The sequence below is a fragment of the Homo sapiens genome, chromosome 12 (assembly GCF_000001405.40).
Source record: "Homo sapiens chromosome 12, GRCh38.p14 Primary Assembly".
Classification (NCBI taxonomy): Eukaryota; Metazoa; Chordata; class Mammalia; order Primates; family Hominidae; genus Homo; species Homo sapiens.
Window position 1 is genome coordinate 49306940 of NC_000012.12, and position 25201 is coordinate 49332140.

Sequence of the window (25201 nt, forward strand, 5' to 3'; positions counted from 1 at the left end):
CAATTTACACTCCTACCAACAATGTACAAGAGTCTCCTTTTCTCTACATCCTGCCACACATCTTTTGTCTTTTTGATAATAGCCACTCTAGCAGGTGTGAAGTGATATCTCATTGTGGTTTTGGTTTGCATTTCTGTGATGATTAGTAATGTTGATTTTTTAAAATATATATATGTTAGCTGGATGTAGTGGCTCATGCCTGTAATCCCAGCACTTTGGGAGGCCTAGGTGTGCAGATCACATGGTCGGGAGTTTGAGACCAGCCTGGCCAACATGATGAAACCCCATCTCTACAAAACATACAGAAAGAAAAAAAAGCCAAGTGTGGCAGTGCACACCTGCAGTCCCAGCTACTTGCAAGGCAGAGGTGGGAGGATCACTCGAGCCCGGGAGGTTGAGGCTGCAGTGAGCCAAGATTGCGCCACTGCACTCCAGCCTGGGCCATGTAGCGAGATCTGTCTCAAAATAAAATAAAATAAAATAAAATAAAATAAAAATTAATATATCTGTTGCTCATTTTTATGTCTTCCTTTGGGAAATCTCTACTGAGGTCCTTTGCCCATTTAAATAAGTCAGGTCTTGTTTTTGTTTTTACTATTGAGTTGTTTGAATACCTTACATATTCTGGATATTAACCCCTTCTCAGATATATGGTTTGAAAATATTTTCTCTCTTTTCATAGGTTGTTTCTTCACTCTGTTGATTGTTTCCTTTGCTGTGAAGAAGTCTTTTAGTTTGACGCAATCCCATTTGTCTATTTTTGCTTTTGTTGCCTGTGCTTTTAGGTTCATTTCCAAAAAGAAAAAAAAAAATCATTACCCAGACTAATGTCATGAAGTTTCTTCTTTTTGCTCAAAGTTGCTTTGGTTAGTTGGGGTCCTTTGTAGCTCCATATGAATTTTTTGATTGTTTTTTTTCTATTCTGTGAAAACTGCCACTGGAATTTTGATAGGGTTTGCTTGAATTTGTAGATCATTTAGAGTAGTATGAACATTTTAACAATATTAATTCTTCTAATCTATTTGTATTTTCTTAAATCTTTTTCATTATCTTTTTATTGTTTTCAGACCTCTATTATTATGATAAAGGGGTCAGTTCATCAACAGGATATAACAATTGTAAATATATATGCACCCAATATCAGAATAACTATATATAGCAAACATATAAAGCAAATATTAACTGAACTGAAGGGGGAAATAGACAGCAACATAACAATAGTAGGGGACTTCAATATCCCACTTTCAACAATAGATAGATCATCCAGACAGAAAATCAATAAGGAAATGGCAGACTTGAACAACACTATAGCCAAAATGAACCTAACAGACATATACAGAATATTCCATCCAACAGCAACAAATACACATTCTTCTCAAGTGTACACAGAAGTCTCCAGGACAGATTATACATTAGGCCACAAAACAAGTCTTGACAAATTTAAGAAGACAGAAACCACATCAAGTATCTTTTTTGATCATAGTGGATAAAACTAGAAATCAACAATAGGAGAAAAAATGAAAAAATCACACTTGTGTGGAAATTAAACAACATACTCCTGAACAACCAATGGGTCAAAGAAGAAGTGAAAAGAGAAATAAAAATAACTTGAGGCCACTTTTGGAGGCTGAGGTGGGCAGATCACTAGATGTCAGGAGTTTCAGACTAGCCTGGCCAACATGGCAAAATCCTGTCTCTACTAAAAATACAAAAATCAGCTGGGTATGGTGGCAGGCACCTGTAATCCTAGCTAGTCAGGAGGCCGAGGCACAAGAATTGCTTGAACCCAGGAGGCAGAGGTTGCAGTGAGCCGAGATTGTGCCACTGCACTCCAGCCTGGGTGACAGAAAGAGGCTCCATCTCAAAATAAATAAATAAATAAAAAATTTAAAAAACGAGGCAAATGAAAATGGGAAAATAGAAACACAACATACCAAAAATTTAAGGAATGTAGCAAAAGCAGTTCTAAGAAGGATATTTATAGCAATAAGTGCCTACATTAAGGAAAAAAGAAAAAATTCAAATAACCTCAAACAACTAGAAAAAGAAGAACAAGGTAAGCCCAAAGTTAGGCAACAGGAGGAAATAATAATCTGGCAGAAATAAATAAAAAAGAGATTAGGAAAACATAAAAAAGATCAATAAAACCAAGAGTTTGTCTTTTGAAAGGATAAACAAAATTGACAAACCTTTAGCTGGACTAAGAAAAAAAGAAGACAAAAAAAAGAAGACAAAAATAAATAAAATTATAAATGAAAGAGAAGGCATTACAACTGATACCACAGAAATACAAAAGATCATAAGAGACTACTATGAACAATTATATGCCAGCAAATTGAATAACCTAGAAGAAATAGGTAAATTTCTAAAAACATACAGCCTACCAAGACAGAATCATGAAGAAATAGAAAATCTGAACAGACCAATGATGAGCAAGCAGATTGAATCAATAATTTAAAACCTCCCAGCAAAGAAAATACCAGGACCTGATGGCTTCACTGGTGAATTCTACCAAACAGTTGAAAAAAAGGAGCCGGGGCCAGGCACAGTGGCTCACACTTGTAATCTCAACACTTCAGGAGGCCGAGACGGGCAGATCACTTTGAGCTCAGGAGTCTGAGACCAGCCTAGGCAACATGGTGGAACTCTGTCTCTACAAACAAAACAAAACAAAACAAAACAAAAATTAACTGGGTGTGGCGACGCATGCCTGTAGTCCCAGCTACTGAGAAGGCTGAGGCTATAGAATTGCTTGAACCTGGGAGGCGGAGGTTGCAGTGAGTTGAGATCATGCCACTGCACTCCAGCCAGGTGACAGAGCGAGACTCTGTCTCAAACAAAAAAGAAAAAAGAAAAGAAAAGGAGCCGGGTGCGGTGGCACCTGGCTGTGATCCCAGCTAGGCTGAGGTGGGAGTATTGCTTGAGCCCAGGAATTTGAGACCAGTCTTGGTAATGTAACAAGGACCCCTGCCCCTCCAAAAGAAAAATTAACACCAATCCTTCTCAAACTCTTTCAAAAACCTGAAGAGACAGGAACACTTCCAAACTCATCTTTTCTTTTTTTTTTTTTTTTATTCTTTAAGTTTTAGGGCACATATGCACAATGTGCAGGTTAGTTACATATATATACATGTGCCATGTTGGTGTGCTGCACCCATTAACTCATCATTTAATCTTAGGTATATCTCCTAATGCTGTCCCTCCCCCCTCCCCCCACCCTTCAACAGGCCCCGGTGTGTGATGTTCCCCTTCCTGTGCCCATGTGTTCTCATTGTTCAATTCCCACCTATGAGTGAGAACATACGGTGTTTGGTTTTCTGTCCTTGCGATAATTTGCTGAGAATGATGGTTTCCAGCTTCATCCATGTCCCTACAAAGGACATGAAATCATCATTTTTTATGGCCACATAGTATTCCATGGTGTATATGTGCCACATTTTCTTAATCCAGTCTATCATTGTTGGACATTTGGGTTGGTTCCAAGTCTTTGCTATTGTGAATAGTGCCGCAATAAACATATGTGTACATGTGTCTTTATAGCAGCATGATTTATAATCCCTTGTGTATATACCCAGTAATGGGATGGGTGGGTCAAATGGTATTTCTAGTTCTAGATCCCTGAGGAATCGCCACACTGACTTACACAATGGTTGAACTAGTTTACAGTCCCACCAACAGTGTAAAAGTGTTCCTATTTCTCCACATCCTCTCCAGCACCTGTTGTTTCCTGACTTTTTAATGATCGCCATTCTAACTGGTGTGAGATGGTATCTCATTGTGGTTTTGATTTGCATTTCTCTGATGGCCAGTGACGATGAGCATTTTTTCATGTGTCTTTTGGCTGCATAAATGTCTATTTTTGAGAAGTGTCTGTTCATATCCTTTGCCCACTTTTTGATGGGGTTGTTTTTTTCTTGTAAATTTGTTTGACTTCATTGTAGATTCTGGATATTTGCCCTTTGTCAGATGAGTAGATTGCAAACATTTTCTCCCATTTTGTAGGTTGCCTGTTCACTCTGATGGTAGTTTCTTTTGCTGTGCAGAAGCTCTTTAGTTTAATTAGATCCCATTTGTCAATTTTTGCTTTTGTTGCCATTGCTTTTGATGTTTTAGACATGAAGTCCTTGCCCATGCCTATGTCCTGAATGGTATTGCCTAGGTTTTCTTCTAGGGTTTTTATGGTTTTAGGTCTAACATTTAAGTCTTTAATCCATCTTGAATTAATTTTTGTATAAGGTGTAAGGAAGGGATCCAGTTTCAGCTTTCTACATATGGCTAGCCAGTTTTCCCAGCACCATTTATTAAATAGGGAATCCTTTCCCCATTTCTTGTTTTTGTCAGGTTTGTCAAAGATCAGATAGTTGTAGATATGTGGCATTATTTCTGAGGGCTCTGTTCTGTTCCATTGGTCTATATCTCTGTTTTGGTACCAGTACCATGCTCTTTTGGTTACTGTAGCCTTGTAGTATAGTTTGAAGTCAGGTAGCGTGATGCCTCCAGCTTTGTTCTTTTGGCTTAGGATTGACTTGGCAATGAGGGCTCTTTTTTGGTTCCATATGAACTTTAAAGTAGTTTTTTCCAATTCAGTGAAGAAAGTCATTGGTAGCTTGATGGAGATGACACTGGATCTATAAATTACCTTGGGCAGTATGGCCATTTTCACAATATTGATTCTTCCTACCCATGAGCATGGAATGTTCTTCCATTTGTTTGTATCCTCTTTTATTTCATTGAGCAGTGGGCAAACTCATCTTATAAGGCCAGCATTACCCTGATATCAAAGCCAGACAAGGAAACTACAAGAAAATACAATTACAGGTAGAATATATCTCCCAGCTCTGTCCACTGAGAGGGACTGGGAGCAGTAATACCCTAATAGCAACGAGCAGAGCTACTGTCCAGATTTTGGTTTTTTGGTTTGTTTGTTTTGTTTTTTGAAACAGAGTCTCGCACTGTCGCCCAGGCTAGAGTGCAGTGGCGCGATCTTGGCTCACTGCAACCTCCACCTCTTGGATTCAAGCAATTCTCCTGCCTCAGCCTCCTGAGTAGCTGGGATTACAGGTGCGTACCACCACATCCAGCTAATTTTTGTATTTTTAGTACAGACGGGGTTTTACCATGTTGATCAGGCTGGTCTCGAACTCCTGACCTTGTGATTTGCCCGCCTCAGCTTCTCAAAGTGCTGGGATTACAGGCATGAGCCACCACACCCAGCCAGATTTTGGTTTCTAAATAACAATCTCCATTAAAAGGAACCAGGCTGGGTGCAGTGGCTCACACCTGTAATCCCAGCACTTTGGGAGGCTGAGGCAGGAGGGTCACTTGAGCCCAGGAGGCTGAGACCAGCTTGGGCAACATGGTGAAACCCTGTCTCTACAAAAAAATTAGCTGGACATGGTGGCATGCATCTGTGGTCCCAGTCACTTGGGAGGCTGAGGTGGGAGGATCGTTTGAGCCTGGGAGGTGAAAGTTGCAGTGAGCCAATATTGTGCCACTGCACTCCAGCCTGGGCAACAGAGAGCCTGTCTCAAAAAAAAAAAAAAAAAAAAAGGAACCAGAGCTCCTTGGAGAAATGACTGATTCCAGAGCTGATGCAGGGAAAGTAAAAATAGGTTCTGAAACATGTTGCTATGCCAGAGTGCAAGAATGCTTAAAAGTGATGAAGTGGCCGGGCCTGTAATCCCAGCACTTTGGGAGGCCGAGGCAGGCGGATCACGAGATCAGGAGTTCAAGACCAGCCTGGCCAACATGGTGAAACCCTGTCTGTACTAAAAATACAAAAATTAGCTGAGTGTGGTGGTGTGCGCCTGTAATCCCAGCTACTGGGGAGGCTGAGGCAGGAGAATGGCTTGAACCTAGGAGGCAGAGGTTGCAGTGACCCGAGATCATGCCACTGCACTCCAGCCTGGGTGACAAGCAAGACTCCGTCTCAAAAAAAAAAAAAAAAAGTGATGAGGTTATGTTAAAAGGATACAGTAGGCAACTTGAAAGGACTCCCACTGGCTAAATCAGAGAAAACGTGTCAAAAAAAAAACAGTATTAGTAACTGGATAGTGGTCCATTGAATAGGAATTTACGAGTTCATACTGATATAATTTTAAAAAGCAAAAGATGCCAGGTGCGGTGGCTCATGCCTGTAATCCCAGCACTTTGGGAGGCCAAGGCCGGTGGATCACCTAAGGTTGGGAGTTTGAGGCCAGCTTGACCAACATGGAGAAACCCCATCTCTACTAAAAATACAAAATTAGCCAGGCGTGGTGGCACATGCCTGTAATCCCAGCTACTCAGGGAGGCTGAAGCAGGAGAATCACTTGAACCCGGGAGGCAGACGTTGTGGTGAGGTGAGATCGCGCCATTGCACTCCAGCCTGGGCAACAAGGGCAAAACTCCGTCTCAAAAAAAAAAAAAAAAAAAAGAAAAGAAAAGAAAAAGAAAAAGATTGATGAGGAATGGAATATTTACATAACCTCAAAGTATCCCCCCTGCCCCCCACAAAATACTTCTTAATTACAAAAGTGAAGAGTAATTTACGGTGGAGAAACTTGACAGATACCACTTTTTTTTTTTTTTTTTTTGAGACAGGGTCTCTCTCTGTCTCCCAGGCTGGAGTGCAGTGACCAGATCCTGGCTCACTACAGCCTCAAACTCTCAGCTCACGTGATCCTCTTGCCTCAGCCTCCCAAGTAGCTGGGACTACAGGTGCACGCCAGTATGCCCAGCTGATTTTTATTTATTTATTTATTTATTTATTTTATTTAGAGGTGGAGTCTTGCTCTGTCACCCAGAGTGGAGTGCAATGGCGCGATCTCAGCTCACTGCAACCTCCGCCCCATGGGTTCAAATGATTCTCCTGCCTCAGCTTCCCAAGTAGCTGGGATTACAGGTGCCCACCACCACGCCCAGCTAATTTTTGTATTTTTAGTAGAGACGGGGTTTCACCAGGTTGGCCAGGCTGGTCTCAAACTCCTGACCTCAGGTGATCCACCCACCTCGGCCTCCCAAAGTGCGGGGATTACAGGCGTAAGCCACTGCGCCTGGATGCCCAGTTAATTTTTTTTTTTAATTTTTGTAAAGATAGGGTTTCACCATGTTGCCCAGGCTGGTCTCCAACTCTTGGACTCAAATGATCCTCCTGCCTCAGCCTCCCAAAGTGCTGGGATTACAGTCATGAGCCACCACACCTGGCTACCACTTGAATCAAATAATTAAAGTAAAAGGACACACTGAAATGGGAGCCACCTGATAGGATGCAGTAGGAAGAAAACAGCATAACTTCTGTGACAGTCCTGCCAAAGATTATAGCATGAGTCTAATCATAAGAAAACATCAGGCAAACCCAAACAGAGAGAAATTCTACAAAGTAACTGGCCTGTAATCCTCAAAAATGTGATGTCATGAAAGTCAAAAATGAAGAACTCTTTGAGATTGAAGGAGACTAAAGAGATATGACAACTGGCCAGGCAAGGTGGCTCACACCTGTAATCCCAGCACTTTGGGAGGCCGAGGCAGGTGCATCAGGAGGTCAGGAGATCAAGACCATCCTGGCCAACATGGTGAAACCCCATCTCTACTACAAACACAAAAATTAGCTGGGTGTGGTGGCAGGCGCCTGTAATCCCAGCTACTTGGGAGGCTGAGGCAGGAGAATCGCTTGAACCGGGGAGGCAGAGGTTGCAGTGGGCCGAGATTGCACCACTGCACTCCGTCCTGGCGACACAGAGAGACTCCATCTCAAAAAAAAAAAAAAAAAAAGATATGACAACTAAATGCAACACATGAATCTGGACTGGATCCTTCTTCTATAAAGGACATCACTGGGAAAACTGGCGAAACTTGAATTGGGTCAGTATTAAGGTTCTTCAGAGAGACATAACCAATTGGATATATGAGAGGGGATTTATTAGGGAATTGGCCACATGATCACAGAGGCAGAATCCCATGATAGGCTCTTTGTAGGCTGGGGAACCAGAGAATCTGGTAACATGGCTCAGTCCAACTCCAGAAGCTTCAGAGCCAGGGAAGCCAACAGTACAACCCCCTAGTCAGAGGCCAAAGGCCTGAAAACCCCTGATAGGCCACTGGTGCAAGTCCCAAAGTCCAAAAGCTGAAGAACCTGGAGTCTGTTGTCCAAGAATAGGAGGAGAAAAAGCAGATTGCTCTGGAAGGGAGAGTTTGAGAATTCCCCCACTTCTTCCTGTTTGTCCAAATCCACCCCAGGCGGTTGGATGATACCCACCCACACTGAAGGCAGGTCTTCCTCTCTCAGTCCAAGGACTCACAGCCAATCTCCACTGCAACACCCTTACAGACACACGGACACAGGACACACACACGAACAATGTTTCACCAGCCATCAAGGCATCTCTCAATCCAGTCAAGTTGATGCCTAAAATTAACCATCACAGGGCCTGAGGGTTAGGTGGTCAGAATGTATCAAGGTTGGGCTGGGCACAGTGGCTCATGCCTGTAATCCCAACACTTTGGGAGGCTGAGGCAGGCGGATCACCTGAGGTCAGGAGTTCGAGATCAGCCTGGCCAACATGGTGAAACCCCTGTCTCTACTAAAAATACAAAAATTAGCTGGGCATGGTGGCAGGGGCCTACAATCTCAGCTACTCAAGAGGCTGAGGCAGGAGAATCACTTGAACCCAGGAGGCAGAGTTTGGGGTGAGCCTAAATCATGCCACTGTACTCCAGCCTGGGCAACAGAGAGAGACTCCCTCTCAATAAATAAATAAATAAATAAATAAAAATAAATGCACACTGAAATATTTGAGGCAATATATTGTCAATTTGCTCTCAAATGGTTGAGAAAAAATGTTATGTATATCCTTGCACATGTTCTGTAAGTTTAAAATTGTTTCACAAAAACAGGGAAAAAAGTTACTCTTTGGAGAAGCTTCAGATGGTTTCCCACAAGTCAAGGTTGCTCCAGCACTGTTGCTGTTAATATAATATTGGAAATTTTCTATGATGGTGTAAGAAAAAGAAATCAACAGAATCAGGGCCGGGCACGGTGACTCATGCCTGTAATCCCAGCACTTTGGGAGGCCGAGGTGGGTGGATCACCTGAGGTCAGGAGTTAGAGATCAGCCTGACTAACATAGTGAAACCCCATCTCTACTAAAAATACAAAAATAGCCGGGCATAGTAGCACATGCCTGTAATTCCAGCTACTTGGGAGGCTAAGGCAGGAGAATCACTTGAACCCAGGAGGTGGAGGAGATCATGTCATTGCACTCCAGCCTGGGCAACAAGAGCAAAACACCATCTAAAAAAAAAAAAAATCAGCCGGGTGCGGAGGTTCACGCCTGTAATCCCAGCACTTTGGGAGGCTGAGGTTGGCAGATCACAAGGTCAGGAGATCGAGACCATCCTGGCTAATGTGGTGAAACCCTGTCTCTACTAAAAATACAAAAAATTAGCCAGGCGTGGTGGCGGGCGCCTGTAGTCCCAGCTACTTGGGAGGCTGAGGCAGGAGAATGGCGTGAACCCGGGAGGCGGAGGTTGCAGTAAGCCGAGATTGTGCCACTGCACTCCAGCCTGGGCGACAGAGCAAGACTCCGTCTCAAAAAAAAAAAAAAAAAAAAACAAACAAACAAAACAAGAATAACAAAAAATCTAACGAGGTATAAAGATTGAAGGGGAATATGTAAAACTGTTTTGTTTACAGAGGACATAATTATCTCTGTAGAAAACCTAGAAGAATCAATAGAAAAATAAGAAAAGAGTTCATTGGATAGAAAATCAATTATAAGAAAATATTTGCAATGTTTAAAGTGGATATGGGGAGCCAGATGTGGTGGCTCACGCCTGTAATCCCAGCATTTTGGGAGGCTAAGGTGGGCACATCACCTGAGGTTAGAAGTTCAAGACCACTTGGCCATCATGGTGAAACCCCGTCTCTACTAAAAATACAAAAATTATCTGGGCCTGGTGGTGCACACCTGTAGACCCAGAGACTTAGGAAGCTGAGGCAGGAGAATCACTTGAACTCACAGTGAGCCGAGATCGAGCCACTGCACTTCAGCCTGGGCGACAGACCAAGACTCAATAATAATAATAATAATAGGTTGGGCGCGGTGGCTTACGCCTGTAATCCCAACACTTTGGGAGGCCAAGGCGGGCGGATCATCTGAGGTTGGGAGTTCAAGACCAGCCTAACCAACATGGTGAAACCCCATCTCTACTAAAATACAAAAAATTAGCTGGGCATGGTGGCGCACACCTGTAGTCCCAGCTACTCGGAAGGCTGAGGCAGGAGAATTGCTTGAACCCGGGAGGTGGAAGCTGCAGTGAACCGACATCGCGCCACTGCACTCCAGCCTGGCGACAGAGCACGACTCTGTCTCAAAAAATAAATAAATAAATAAATAATAATAATAAATAAATAAATAAAGTGGATATGGGGCTGGGTGCAGTGGCTCACTCCTGTAATACCAGCACTTTAGGAGGCCGAAGCAGGCAGATCATCTGAGGTCAGGAGTTCTAAACCAGCCTGGTCAACATGGCAAAACCCCCCTCTACTAAAAAATATAAAAATTAGCCAGGCGTGGCCAGGCACCATGGCTCATGCCTGTAATCCCAGCACTTTGGGAGACTGAGGTGGGCAGTCACCTGAGGTCAGGAGTTTGAGACCAGCCTGGCCAACATGGTGAAACCCCATCTCTACTAAAAATACAAAAATTAGCCAAGCATGGTGGCGAGCACCTGTAATCTCAGCCACTCGGGAGGCTGAGGCAGGAGAATCGCTGAACCCAGGAGGCAGAGGTTTCAGTGAGCTGAGATCGGGCCACTGAACTCTAGCCTGGGAGACAGAGCAAAACTCTTCCTGAAAAAAAAAAAAAAAAAAAAGAGGTCGGGCGTGGTGGCTCACACCTCTAATCCCAGCACTTTGGGAGGCTGAGCCAGGCGGATCACGAGGTCAGGAGATCGAGACCATCCTGGCCAACATGGTGAAACCCCATCTCTACTACAAATACAAAAATTAGCTGGGCATGGTGGCAGGCACGTGTAATCCCGGCTACTCGGGAGGCTGAGGCAGGAGAATCCCTTGAACCCAGGAGGCAGGGGTTGCAGTGAGCCGAGATTGCGCCACTGCACTCCAGCCTGGTGACAGAGCAAGACTCAGTCTCAAAAAAAAAAAAAGAAGAAGAAGAAAAGAAAATTAGCCAGGCGTGGTGGTGCGTGTCTGTAATCCCAGCTACTTGGGAGGCTGATGCAGGAGAATCACTTGAACCCAGGAGGTAGAGGTTTCAGTGAGCCGACATCAGGCCCCTGTACTCCAGTATGGGTGACAGAGCAAGACTCCATCTCAAAAAGTAATAATAAATAAAATAAAATAAAATAATTTTTAAAAAAGTGAATGTGGGATTAATATTCATAATATAGTGTAATCTTATGAAGGAACAAAAGTAAAGACAGGAATCCAAAATAAAAAAAGCACAAAGGATATGAATAGGCATTTCAGAGAGAAGGAAGCTTTATTGGCTAACAAGAATATGAAATAGCCAGGCGCAGTGGCTCACACCTGTAATCCCAGCACTTTGGGAGGCCAAGGTGGGTGGATCACCTGAGGTCAGGAGTTGGAAACCAGCCTGGCCAACATGGCGAAACCCTGTCTCTATGAAAAATACAAAAATTAGCCAGGGATGGTTGTGGGTGCCTGTAATCCCAGCTACTAGGGGGGCTGAGGCAGGAGGATCGCTTGAACTTGGGAGGCTGACGTTGCAGTGAGCCAAGATCGTGCCACTGCACTCCAGCCTTGGTAACAGAGTGAGACTCCATCTCAAGAAAAAAAAAAAAGAATATGAAGTAACACTCAAACTCACTAGTAATCAGAGAAATGTAATTTTAAATAACTGAGAGTACACTTAATATACCTATTAGAATTGCAAATATTAGAGAGTTGTATAATATTACGTGTTGGAAAGGGTATGAGGTAATAAGAACTTTCAGTAATGATGTTGAGACTGTAAACAGCTACAGACCTGGGTTTTCTTGCTTGGTTTTGTTTTTCAGGGTTTTTTTTAGAGTGTCTCACTGTTATCAAAGCTGGCTTCAAACTCCTGAGCTCAGGCAATCCTCCTACCTCAGCCTTCTAAGAAGCTGGGACTACAAGTGTGTGCCATGCCCGGTTTACAGCTACAGATTTTCTGAAAAATAATCTGGTGCTACTTAGTAAAATTGAGCATGCATATACCTTACCACAGAAATTCCACTCCGAGGAATATGTTCCAGAGAAATTCTTGAACTGGTTCACAGGGGACTATGAAAGAGATAACTGTCTGGCATTGTGTGTAGAAGTCAGGAATGGGTAAGTAAAGTATAATGGATGCCTACCATGGAATCCTATGTAGCAGGTATAAGCAATGAATTAGATTATATGTAGTAATAAGGATGAATCCTGAAAACAGAGTTAATCAAAAAAAGTAAAAGCAGGCTGGCACAGTGGCTGACATCTGTAATCTCAGCACTGTGGGAAGCTGAGGCAGGAGGATGGCTTGAGCCCAGGAGTTTGAGACCAGCCTAGGCAACATAGCAAGACCCCATCTCTATACAAAAAAGTGTATATTAAAAATATATATTTTTTTGAGACAAAGTCTCACTCACTCTTTCTCCCAGCCTAGAGTGCAGTGGCATGATCTCTGCTCACTGCAACCCTCCCTTCTGGGTTCAAGTGATTCTCGTGCCTCAGGCTCCTGAGTAGCTGGGATTACAGGCATGCATCACCACGCCCAGCTAATTATATTTTTAGTAGAGACCGGGTTTTGCCATATTGGCCAGGCTGGTCTTAGACTCCTGACCTCAAGTGATCCGCCTGCCTTGGTGTCCCAAAGTGCTGGGATTACAGGCATGAGCCACCACGCCTGACCTTAAAAATTTTTTTAAAGAGGAAGTTCAAACATTATTTCTTCTTGGAGGTCTTCCTTGTTGATGCATTCAATCATATATTCATCTATCTATTGACTCATTCAACAAGGATTGAGCACTTTTACGAAGGATAATGCAAGGTACTAAAGATATGATGGTAGGCCAAAAATAGAGGGTCACCTTCATCATCTCCTTGGAGGTCTATTGGAGGAAACTGGGTTTAGTAAACATATTATGTTCACACTGATTAATATATAATTACCAACTAACATACATGCTCTGAGGAAACAAACATTACTTTTTGCGAGCACATAGCCAAGAGGTCTTTACTAGATTGGGGTGGGTGGTAGGTAGAGGGGTGCAAGGAAGGCCTGAGGAAATAACAATGGGAATCAATTTGGAGGCATAAATAGGCCAAGTGGAAGTGAAAAGGACATTCCAGAAACAGGGACCATATAGAGCAATCAGGACAAACTTGAGGAATTGAAAGAAGCCATGAAGTTGGAGATATTAATAGAAGGGGAAGAGTGGTAGAAGATGGAGGGTTTCAGTGGGGAGAGGTCAAGGGATAGTGGTAGCCTGACTTGATGTGCATTTTGGAAAGATTACTCTAGCTGCTATATGGAGAATGGAAGAGTGTGAAGAGAAAGAGAGAATAGGGGATGGGAGACCAACTAAGACACTCTTGCAATTGCCTAGGTGAGACTGAGGTGGATTAGGGTGGTGCTAACAAAGAACAAGAAAGTAGATGGGCCGGGTGCGGTGGCTCACGCCTGTAATCCCAACACTTTCGGAGGCCGAGGCAAGTGGATCACTTGAGGTCAGGAGTTCGAGACCATCCTGACCAGCATTGTGAAACCCCGTCTCTACTAAAATACAAAAATTAGCTGGGCATGGTGGCTGGTGCCTGTAATCCCAGCTACTAAGGAGGCTGAGGCAGGAGAATCGCTTGAACCCGGGAGGTGGAGGCTGCAGTGAGCTGAGATCAGGCCACTGCACTCCAGCCTGGGGGATAGAGCAAGACTCTGTCTCAAAAAAAAAGAAAGAAAGAAAAAGAGAGAGTGAGAGAGAGAGAGAGAAAGAGAGAGAGAAAAAAAAAGAGAAAGAAAGAAAAAGAGAGAAAGAAAAAAGAAAGAAAGAAAGAAAAAGAAAAAAGAAAGAAAGAGAAAGTAAGAAATTTTTTTTCTTTTTTGAGACAGAGTTTCACTCTTGTCACCCAGGCTGGAGAATGCAGTGGCACAATCTTGGCTCACTGCAGCCTCTGCCTCCTGGGTTCAAGTGATTTTCCTGCCTCAACCTCCCAAGTAGCTGGGATTACAGGCATCAGCCACCATGCCCAGCTAATTTTTGTATTTTCAGTAGAGACGGGGTTTCACAATGTTGGTCAGGATGGTCTCAAACTCTTGACCTCAGGTGATCCGCCCACCTCGGCCTCCCAAAGTGCTGGGATTACAGTCATAAACCCAGCCGAAAGTAGATGATCTTTTTGTTGTTGTTTGTTTGGTTTTTTTTTGAGACGGAGTTTCGCTCTTGTTGCCCAGGTTGGAGTTGCAGTGGTGCGATCTCGGCTCACCTCAACCTCCGCCTCCTGGGTTCAAGCGATTCTCCTGCCTCAGCCTCCTGAGTAGCTGGGATTACAGGCATGAGCCACCAAGTCCGGCTAATTTTTGTGTTTTTAGTAGAGACGGTTTTCTCCATGTTGGTCAGCCTGGTCTTGAACTCCCAACCTCAGGTGATCCCCCTGCCTTGGCCTCCCAGAGTGCTGGGATTACAGGCGTGAGCCACCGCGCACAGCCTGAAAGTAGATGAATTTTAAAGATGCATACAATTAGTAAAGATACCTTACGTATCTTTAAATTTTTTTTTATAGAAACAGGATCTTGCTACACTGTCTAGGCTGGTCTGGAACTCCTGGCCTCAAGCGATCCACCTGGGCCATCCAAAGTGCTGGGAAAGACGCCTGTAACCCCAGGCTAGACAACGTAGCCAGATCTTGTCTCTACAAAAAAACACAAAAATTAGCTGGTGGCAGGCACCTGTAGTCCCAGCTACTTGAGAGGCTGAGGTTCCCACCTCAGGAGGCCGAGGCTGCGGTGAGCTGAGATCGCACCACTGCACTCCAGCCTGGGCGACAGAGTGAGACCCTGTCCCAAAAATGCATAAATAGTAAAACTAGTGAGAGTGAATGAGAGATGGGATATGTAAAGGGAGTGGGAGGAGTTAAGGAGTAACTCCTCGGTTTCTGGCTTGTGTAAGAATAACTTCTGTGATTGGTGGGGAAAATCCACCAGAGTTCTGTTAAGTGTTGTTCATTTCCTGTCCCCCGTTAGGGGTTACCCCTTCCATCTTAAGCAGGATATTCTAGGATCTCTCAGTCTCACAGCCTTGCCCACCAATAACCAGCAGGTGAGCCCCCTCTCCCCAGACCTCTAGATCTGCAAAAGGCAACCTGGAGGCAAGGAAATCCCCAGCTGTGAGTAGCCATTCAATTCTGGTGCTGTGGTAACTGAGTTCAAAAACAATGAGTCTTGTTACCTACCCGTAAAATGAAAGACACCTCATCAGACACCTCACTGGATTGTGAGGCTCCAAGGAGCACACATATTGTTAGGCTCAGTTCGATTCCCTCCAGCCCTCTCCGCCCGTTTGAAGGCAGTTCCTTATCCCGGAGACAACGTACAGATGTTCTCTCTTTCCCTCTTTATTTTTTTTAAGACAGGGTCTCTGTTGCCCAGGCTGGAGTGCAGTGGCGCGACCACAGCTCACTACAGCCTCAACCTCCTGGGCTCAACACGATCCTCCTGCCTCAGCCTCCAGAGCGGCTGGGACTACAAGCGCGCACCACTGCACAGGGATTATTATTATTATTTTATTATTTTGTAGAGAAACGGGTGGGAGTGGTCTCGCTATGTTGCCCAGGCTGGTCTCAAACTCAGCTCAAGAGATCCTCCCGCCTCGGCGTCCCAAAGTGTTGGGATTACAGGCGCCTGCCACCGCGCCCGGACGCAGATATTTTCTATGGGCATCTGGAATGGCGTCCCCAAAGCTTGGCGCCGTGCTATGGTCAAGCCGGGTCGGGGGCTCGGGCCAGCCTTCAACACCGTTGGCAGCAATCGGAACGATCAACTGTACCCTCAGTACCGCGACCTCGCCCGGTCCTGCCAATGGCCGGCCCCTAGCCGGTCCTGAGGCCTCGCGAGAGCTCCCGTGGCTACGCCTTCCCCGGCCTCGGAACGGCCCCATCCTTCCTCTTTCCCCGCCTCCCAGCGGCGCTCCACTCTCGGATTGGCTGATTGATCCGAGTCAGTTTTTTTCCTCGCCAGAAAGCGGTTCGACAATTGGTCCTTCTTTTGGCCCCTCCTGCGATGCCCGCGGATTGGACGGCTGAGTCTGGCTACGCGGGCCTCCGCGGGAGCGCGACCGGGCCAATCAAGAGCTTGGCGTATTTTACAAACTGAGAAAGTAGCTCCAGCAGCACCCGAGAGGGTCAGGAGAAAAGCGGAGGAAGCTGGGTAGGCCCTGAGGGGCCTCGGTAAGGTAAGGCACGGGGGTCTTGAAGGGAACGAAGGCTGCTGGGTTCATAGGGAGGAGGGCAGTTTGGGGCCCGAGGGCGAAAGAGTAGGCTCGGGGTGTCTGGAGATAGCACCCATAAGAGCGGTCTTGCAGGCGCCGGGGGCTTGTGGGCGCGTGGATTAGGGCGGAGGTATCAGGGATGGCAGGACAGGTGCCCCGAGAACTGGTTGATCTTTGATCTTAGATTCTGCCTGCCTTCTTCCCCGTCTCAATTGTAGCCATCATGACCACCCGGCAAGCCACGAAGGATCCCCTCCTCCGGGGTGTATCTCCTACCCCTAGCAAGATTCCGGTACGCTCTCAGAAACGCACGCCTTTCCCCACTGTTACATCGTGCGCCGTGGACCAGGAGAACCAAGATCCAAGGGTAAGAGGGGCCTAATGGGGGAAGACAGTAGTCACACCAGTAATGCACCCCAACACTAAACCTCACCTTTTTGTCCCCGCTCCCTCCCCTAGAGATGGGTGCAGAAACCACCGCTCAATATTCAACGCCCCCTCGTTGATTCAGCAGGCCCCAGGCCGAAAGCCAGGCACCAGGCAGAGACATCACAAAGATTGGTGGGGATCAGTCAGCCTCGGAACCCCTTGGAAGAGCTCAGGCCTAGCCCTAGGGGTCAAAATGTGGGGCCTGGGCCCCCTGCCCAGACAGGTACCTGTTGGAGCCATGGTAACACGGCCTCCATGGCTGAGTAGGGGACTAGGAAGGGTAAAAGTGGGGTTTTGGGGTTTTGCACTCACTCCTGCTGTCTCCTACTTACTGTGATAGTCCTGGTCCCAGCTCCTGGAAAGCTCTTTGCTCTTAGAAGATCTCCCTTTCCTCCAGCAAAATGTCATCTCGCCAGGTGCCATGGCTTGTACCTGTAATCACAGCTACTCAGGAGGCTGAAGCAGGAGGATCACTGGAGGCCAGGAGTTGGAGACCAGCCTGGATGACAGAGGGAGATCCCATCTCTTTAAAAAATAAATAAATAAATAAATAATAAATATCACTTCTTCTGAAGCCTTTTCCAGTTCCCCATGTCACAATCAGTTGCTCTGTGTTCTCCTAATACTTTGCAGCACTTCTTTTATAACATGTATATACCTTGGCTTGAGTCTGTTACCTGTCTATAGTTTGATGATAGCCTCTTGAGGATAGGGGCTTTGTCTTATTCTTATGGGACCCCAGTGCTTAGAATAGTGTCTTATGTAACATTCTATGAACATTTGGTGACCAGGTGTGGTGGCTCACGCCTGTAATTCCAACACTCCTCCGAGGCAGGAGGATCATTTGAGCTCAGGAGTTTGAGACCAGCCTAGGCAACATAGTGAGACCCCATCTCTTTTTCTCTTTTTTTTTTTCTTTTCTTTTTTTTTTGTGGAGACAGAGTCTTACTCTATCCCTCAGGCTAGAGTACAGTGGCATGATCTCGGCTCACTGCAACATCCACCTCCCAGGTTCAAGCGATTCTCATGCCTCACCCCGAGTACCTGGGATTACCAGCACCTGCCACCACACCCAGCTAATTTTTGTTTTCTTTCTTTTTTTTTTTTTTTTTTTTGAGACAGAGTCTCACTCTGTCACTAAGCTGGAGTGCAGTGGCACGATCTTGGCTCATTGCAACCTCCACCTCCCAGGTTCAAGTGATTCTCCAGCCTCAGCCTCCTGAGTAGCTGGTACTACAGGCGCGCGCCACCAGGTCCAGCTAATTTTTTTTTGTTTTTGTTTTTTGTAGAGATGGGGTTTTACCATGTTGGCCAGGCTGGTCTCAAACTCCTGACCTCAGGTGATCCACCTGCCTCAGCCTCCCAAAGTGCTGGGATTACAGGAGTGAGCTACCGCACCCAGCCAATTTTTGTATTTTTTTAGTGGAGACAGGGTTTTGCTATGTTGGCCGGGTTGGTCTCAAACTCCTGACCACAGGTGATCCACCCGCCTCGGCCTCCCAAAGTGCTGGGATTACAGGCATGAGCCACTGCACCCAGCCATCTATTTCTTAAAAAAAAAAAAAAAAATAAGCCAAATTCAATTGAATGAGTCTCTTGCTCACCTTGTACCTCAAAGTTCCTATGCTAGGGGCCCTATCCCCCTCAGCCTTCCCCCTTCCTTTTCCTTCTCCTCTTTCCTTGCAGAGGCTCCAGGGACCATAGAGTTTGTGGCTGACCCTGCAGCCCTGGCCACCATCCTGTCAGGTGAGGGTGTGAAGAGCTGTCACCTGGGGCGCCAGCCTAGTCTGGCTAAAAGAGTACTGGTTCGAGGAAGTCAGGGAGGCACCACCCAGAGGGTCCAGGTAATGAAACAGGATGTGAGGAGACCAGGCTAGGGGGCACTGAGGGGGGCATCCTGAGCAGTGCTGACAGCCTCTGTTGGTGTCCCAGGGTGTTCGGGCCTCTGCATATTTGGCCCCCAGAACCCCCACCCACCGACTGGACCCTGCCAGGGCTTCCTGCTTCTCTAGGCTGGAGGGACCAGGACCTCGAGGCCGGACATTGTGCCCCCAGAGGCTACAGGCTCTGGTGAGTGCCCTTGAGGGGCTGATAGTCGGTGCTTCTGGGAGCTCCTTCCAGGGACAAAGCTGGGCTCTGGGAGAAGAGGTACCTCATGATGAGGCAAGGGATCCTACTGGGGGAGATGGGGTTGGTGGTGAGGCCTGAGGGTTTGGGGTCCACCTCTGATTCCGTTTTCATCTCTTGCTCCTGTGGATCAGATTTCACCTTCAGGACCTTCCTTTCACCCTTCCACTCGCCCCAGTTTCCAGGAGCTAAGAAGGGAGACAGCTGGCAGCAGCCGGTGAGAAAGGAGAGGGTGTGGGAGAAGGTCATCTGGAAAAGAATGAACCAGTGTCTGATACAGGAGTCCCCCAGAGTTGGGGCCTTCCAGGAGCTTTAGGACTCCCCACCAACTCAGGAGGGGAAGCAAGAAACCTGTGATTACCCGGGATGAGCCCTTGGGATAGGGTTCAGGCTTTCACAGCCAGGCCTCAGTGTGACATCAGTTTACTCAAGTCATGGGGGGACAGGGAGGACAGAAATGTGCTATCTCTTTTGTTTAGTGGCTAGAGTATAGACTGTGGCAATAAGTGGGATTTGGGTTTATATCCTAACTCTTAACACTTACTATTTGTGCAAGCTTGCCTTCACCTCTCTGAGCTTTGGTTTCTTTGTCAAGTGAGAATAACATTTGTACCATCATTAGTTGTCATGAGAATGAAATGAGATGATGTTTGTAAAGCACTTAGCACATGTCCAGCTCATACTTGGTATTCAGTGACTGCTGGCTAATGTCCTTATTGTCATCAGGACTTCAGTGAGCCAGGCCTCAGGATTGCTCCTGGAGACCCCAGTCCAGCCTGGTAAGTGTTTCTGGCGTGGGGAGAGAACAGGGGCAGTTGGGCTGCCTGAAGCAGGGAACAAGACCAGAGAAAACTCAGCAGGCTGGGAGGGAGCATGAGGAAGTGGGAGGCCGGGAGGCTAGGTCAGAAGGAGAAGGAGAAGAGACCTTCTAGATAGGCCAGCGATTGGCACAGTTGCACTTTTGTCTAAGGAGATGGTCTCCATTTCGGCCCTCTCTCTGCCACTTCCTGCAAGATTTATCTTCCACTCACTGTTTATCCCCAGCCCCTAAGTGCCATCACCACATCCCCAGCCTACTCAGACGTTCAGATTAATAAGTGTTTACTGAGATAGTGTTGGGTGTTGAGGGGCTGCTGGATGGGTTCCTGTCCCTAATAGTGCAATGGGGCCTATTAAACTAATATACCCTCTTCAGAAGTTGCAGAACACTGTGCCAAACTTTGGTGGGTGTTCTAGAGTCTACAACAAATGTCCTGTTTCTTCCTAGCTTTCTCTCTTCCTAAAGGAGAACGCGAGGTTGTCACTCACTCAGATGAAGGAGGTGTGGCCTCTCTTGGTCTGGCCCAGCGAGTACCATTAAGAGAAAACCGAGAAATGTCACATACCAGGGTGAGATGCGACTCTCCTGGGATGGTGGGTGGGAGGTGCAGGAGTTGCTTGGAAGAATTTTGCTGCAGCAGCCAACACTGAGAATTGTAGGTAGAGCCAGGAAGTCCTGGGCCTCAGGATGTTACTGGGTAGGTTTACCCCAGATGCACCCAGTCCCTCTCCAATGTGAGACTGACCTCTCTTTATCAGATGTCTGGGGCCTAGGGTGAGAGGTCATATTTGTATCACCATCAGATCAGTGCTAAGGGTGAGACAGATCTGACACTTGTCAGCCAAAAGCATTCATCCCTTGGCTCCACAAATATTTACTGAGTAGCACCAGCCTACTGAGTGCCAGGCTCTGTTCTAGGCTCTGGACATATAGCAGTAAACAAGTTCATATTCTAGAAGGGGGAGACAAGAAATAAACACAGGTATAAAATAAATAGTGTCTCAGATGATGGTAAGTTCTCTCTAAAATAATAATAATAATAATAATAAGGCACTAAAGGAGAATTGGGAGCAGGGGAGTTGGTATTGCAATTTAAAATAGATTTGTCAGGGAACTCTTACTGAGAAGATGATGTTTAAGTGAAGACCAGGGGTTGGAGGAGGAGTGAGATATGTTGATATCTGGGGGAAGGAACATTCCAGGCCAAGAGAACTGAAGAGGTAAAGGCCCTGGGGAGGGAATGTGCCTGGTGTGTTTGAGGATCAGCAAAAAGGAGAGGCCAGTGAGATTGAAGCAGAGTAAGAAGAACAGTAGGAGATAGGGTTTTAGCGATAACACGATCAGATTGGGTAAGGAATTGTACACCAGTGTAAGTCTTTGGCTTGTCTTGGAATGAGTGGAAAGCCATGGGGAGAGGGGTTGATCAAGAAAGTGACATGATTTGACTTAGGTCTTTTTTTTTTTTTTTTTTTTTTTTTTTGAGATGGAGTTTCACTCTTGTTGCCCAGGCTGGAGTGCAATGGCACGATCTCCGCTCATTGCAACCTCTGCCTCCTGGGTTCAAGTGATTCTCCTGCCTCAGCCTCCGAGTAGCTGGGAATACAGGCATGCACCACCACGCCTGGCTAATTTTGTATTTTTAGTAGAGACAGGATTTCTCCATGTTGGTCAAGCTGGTCTCAAACTCCTGACCTCAGGTGCTCCACCCTCCTCGGCTTCCCGAAGTGCTGGGATTACAGGCCTGAGCCACCATGCCCGGCTTGACTTAGGTCTTAAAAGAATCACACTGGCTGCTGTAGTGAGAACACGATATAGGAAGACAGCCAGGCGTGGTGGCTTACTCCTGTAATCCCAGCACTTTGGGAGGCCGAGGCGGGCAGATCACGAGGTCAGGAGATCGAGACCATCCTGGCTAACATGGTGAAACCCCATCTCTACTAAATATACAAAAAATTAGCCGGGCATGGTGGCGGGCACCTGTAGTCCCAGCTACTCGGGAGGCTGAGGCAGGAGAATGGTGTGAACCCGGGATGCGGAGCTTGCAGTGAGCCAAGATCGCGCCACTGGACTCCATCCTGGGTGACAGAGCGAGACTCCGTATCAAAAAAAAAAATAGGAAGACAAAGGGGGCGGGGATCACTCTTCCACCTTTTTCTTCTTCACAGGACAGCCATGACTCCCACCTGATGCCCTCCCCTGCCCCTGTGGCCCAGCCCTTGCCTGGCCATGTGGTGCCATGTCCATCACCCTTTGGACGGGCTCAGCGTGTACCCTCCCCAGGCCCTCCAACTCTGGTTTGTGTCAACAACTGGGGGCTGGGCAGGGGCAGAACAGTCTGGCCGGAGATCCTTGCTATGTCTGGGTTTTGTCCCTGCTCAGCCACCCACATCTCTCCCCAGACCTCATATTCAGTGTTGCGGCGTCTCACCGTTCAACCTAAAACCCGGTTCACACCCATGCCATCAACCCCCAGAGTTCAGCAGGTAAGAGAGGGCATGGAGAGGTGGCTGGCATAAGTCACAGCTAGGGGAGAAAGGAGATGGATGGGTACAGGAGAGAGAAGACAGAAGCAAGGGGAGGCTGAGTGCCATCTGTGGGTGTCAGCCCTTGCTGACATCTCACTTCTGTGCCAGGCCCAGTGGCTGCGTGGTGTCTCCCCTCAGTCCTGCTCTGAAGATCCTGCCCTGCCCTGGGTAAGTATCAGAAGCTTCCCCCTACTGAGATCCCTTGCCCTGTGCTGCCAGCCTGGAGGCCCAGGAGTTTGAGGCACACGTGCTTTCTGGGCCAGGCATGGTGGCTCACACCTGTAATCCCAGCACTTTGGGAGGCTGAGGTAGGAGGATTGCTTGAGCTCAGATCTTTGAGACCAGCCTGGGCAACATAGTGAGACCCTGTCTCCACTAAAATTTTAAAAATTAGAAAGTGCTCTCTGGAAAAGCTGCCTAACTCTCACTGCTTCTCTGCTGCCCCTCCTAATGTACATCTAGGGCCTCTCAGTTAGGGGCTTCAATCCATTCCTCATGAGGGTGGGACTCAGGCTGGTCTTTCTCCTGCCCCAGCCTGGCTTGCTTGTGTGCCTTGTTCCTTGGTGACAGGAGCAGGTTGCCGTCCGGTTGTTTGACCAGGAGAGTTGTATAAGGTCACTGGAGGGTTCTGGGAAACCACCGGTGGCCACTCCTTCTGGACCCCACTCTAACAGAACCCCCAGCCTCCAGGAGGTGAAGATTCAAGTGAGTCTGTGTGGCCAACAGCTTTGATGTCTATTGAACAGTGACTGGGCTGAGGAAGAGGGAAAAGAGATGGGGGATCAGGAATAGGACAGTGTGGGTAGACTACTGAACGCACATCTTGATGTCACACTGGGGTGCTCTCTCCCACCACAGCGCATCGGTATCCTGCAACAGCTGTTGAGACAGGAAGTAGAGGGGCTGGTAGGGGGCCAGTGTGTCCCTCTTAATGGAGGCTCTTCTCTGGATATGGTTGAACTTCAGCCCCTGCTGACTGAGATTTCTAGAACTCTGAATGCCACAGAGCATAACTCTGGGACTTCCCACCTTCCTGGACTGTTAAAACACTCAGGGCTGCCAAAGCCCTGTCTTCCAGAGGAGTGCGGGGAACCACAGCCCTGCCCTCCGGCAGAGCCTGGGCCCCCAGAGGCCTTCTGTAGGAGTGAGCCTGAGATACCAGAGCCCTCCCTCCAGGAACAGCTTGAAGTACCAGAGCCCTACCCTCCAGCAGAACCCAGGCCCCTAGAGTCCTGCTGTAGGAGTGAGCCTGAGATACCGGAGTCCTCTCGCCAGGAACAGCTTGAGGTACCTGAGCCCTGCCCTCCAGCAGAACCCAGGCCCCTAGAGTCCTACTGTAGGATTGAGCCTGAGATACCGGAGTCCTCTCGCCAGGAACAGCTTGAGGTACCTGAGCCCTGCCCTCCAGCAGAACCCGGGCCCCTTCAGCCCAGCACCCAGGGGCAGTCTGGACCCCCAGGGCCCTGCCCTAGGGTAGAGCTGGGGGCATCAGAGCCCTGCACCCTGGAACATAGAAGTCTAGAGTCCAGTCTACCACCCTGCTGCAGTCAGTGGGCTCCAGCAACCACCAGCCTGATCTTCTCTTCCCAACACCCGCTTTGTGCCAGCCCCCCTATCTGCTCACTCCAGTCTTTGAGACCCCCAGCAGGCCAGGCAGGTAAGGAGTTGGCTGGGAAGGAGTGTGAACACAAGAGGTCCTCACCTCACTGTGAGCTGCACACCTGCCCTGCCCCTACCCCAGGCAATCTCATGCTTCCACACCTTCCACCCTGGCCCAGCCTGGCTCTCCCTCAGGAAGAGGGGAGGGGCTGCACTTCCAGCCCTGTGCTCCTAATTGGCTTGGCCGTTGGTGGGGGAGGAGGAGAGGACAGTACATGGTGGAAGTATAGGACCCCAGACCTCCCTCTAAATTTTCCATGCCCCTCAGGCCTCAGCAATCTGGCCCCTCGAACCCTAGCCCTGAGGGAGCGCCTCAAATCGTGTTTAACCGCCATCCACTGCTTCCACGAGGCTCGTCTGGACGATGAGTGTGCCTTTTACACCAGCCGAGCCCCTCCCTCAGGCCCCACCCGGGTCTGCACCAACCCTGTGGCTACATTACTCGAATGGCAGGATGCCCTGGTGAGACTCCAACCCACAGCCCAGCTGTGGCTGCACAGTGAGCCTGATGGGAGGTGGGGAACAGGGACAGGGGGCCACCTGGGCTTCTTCACAGAGAGGTCAGCAGGAAGGCTTGGCTACAGTGCAAGGTTGGCTGAGCTGTGACAAGGTCTTCTCTGTCTCCAGTGTTTCATTCCAGTTGGTTCTGCTGCCCCCCAGGGCTCTCCATGATGAGACAACCACTCCTGCCCTGCCGTACTTCTTCCTTTTAGCCCTTATTTATTGTCGGTCTGCCCATGGGACTGGGAGCCGCCCACTTTTGTCCTCAATAAAGTTTCTAAAGTATCCACGTGTCTAGCTAAGTGTCCAAACAGGCCAGCTACTGCTGTCACTCTCCCACTGCCCACAGGATGGCAGTGTCCTCCAGCTCAGAGGCCAGCCCTGGGCTCTTGGGATCCCCCAGGCTCCCATCCAGAAGCCGTCCTGAATCCTGAAAGGGAAGGAGGAAACCCACTCCTGCCTAGCCCACCCCCTTGCAAGCTCTGAGCCTCCCACTCCTGCCAAGCCCACTCCCTCGCAAGCTCTGTAAATATGTTGGCGGGCAATTGGAACCCCTGTTCCCCTTGCTTTTTGAGATCAGTCTCACTTAGCTTGCAGGAGCCCTAGACGACTCCTTCACCCCCTAGAGCTCCTCTTCTAGAACTCTCTGCGTGCATTGGGCAGAAAAGCAGAAGCACCAGACCCAGACCTTTGG

The 25201-nt window shown here is 47.7% G+C and overlaps 1 protein-coding gene and 1 long non-coding RNA gene across 11 annotated transcripts in view, besides 3 other annotated features; one reads left to right on the forward strand and one right to left on the reverse strand.

The window, feature by feature from the left end:
- TROAP-AS1 (TROAP and PRPH antisense RNA 1) overlaps positions 1–17637 on the reverse strand; it is a 31946-nt gene extending 14309 nt beyond the window's left edge. Inside the window, exons 1-2 of the long non-coding RNA NR_120449.1 lie at positions 17553–17637; positions 17208–17400 (exon numbers count right to left, since the gene is read on the reverse strand). This is a non-coding gene — a long non-coding RNA (TROAP and PRPH antisense RNA 1). The remainder of the gene's footprint in view (positions 1–17207; positions 17401–17552) is intronic.
- Positions 15029–15248: an enhancer, noted in NCBI's record as "active region_6312". NCBI's record gives its function as "activates an Ori minimal core promoter by ATAC-STARR-seq in GM12878 lymphoblastoid cells {active_cell/tissue: GM12878}" and the evidence as "EXISTENCE:reporter gene assay evidence [ECO:0000049][PMID:35858748]".
- TROAP (trophinin associated protein) lies at positions 16316–24792 on the forward strand. Of its 10 annotated transcripts, NM_005480.4 has the most exons (15): positions 16316–16410; positions 16665–16813; positions 16906–17098; positions 18562–18719; positions 18808–18945; positions 19137–19219; positions 19729–19781; positions 20270–20391; positions 21988–22116; positions 22222–22305; positions 22456–22515; positions 22918–23052; positions 23206–24004; positions 24275–24468; positions 24634–24792. In NM_005480.4, the coding sequence occupies exons 2-15, from the start codon at positions 16670–16672 to the stop codon at positions 24676–24678; spliced, it is 2337 nt and encodes a 778-aa protein (NP_005471.3). In that variant the 5' UTR covers positions 16316–16410; positions 16665–16669; the 3' UTR covers positions 24679–24792. The 10 variants fall into 10 exon arrangements, with proteins under 10 accessions (NP_005471.3, NP_001397905.1, XP_047283986.1 ...); NM_001410976.1 differs by having other exon boundaries at positions 23206–24468; XM_047428030.1 differs by lacking the exon at positions 22918–23052.
- Positions 16390–16539: an enhancer, noted in NCBI's record as "active region_6313". NCBI's record gives its function as "activates an Ori minimal core promoter by ATAC-STARR-seq in GM12878 lymphoblastoid cells {active_cell/tissue: GM12878}" and the evidence as "EXISTENCE:reporter gene assay evidence [ECO:0000049][PMID:35858748]".
- Positions 23531–24032: an enhancer, noted in NCBI's record as "H3K4me1 hESC enhancer chr12:49724253-49724754 (GRCh37/hg19 assembly coordinates)". NCBI's record gives its function as "activates a minimal SCP1, AML or CMV promoter by ChIP-STARR-seq in naive H9 embryonic stem cells {active_cell/tissue: H9 hESC(naive)}" and the evidence as "EXISTENCE:reporter gene assay evidence [ECO:0000049][PMID:30033119]".
- Positions 24793–25201: the final 409 nt, after the last annotated feature.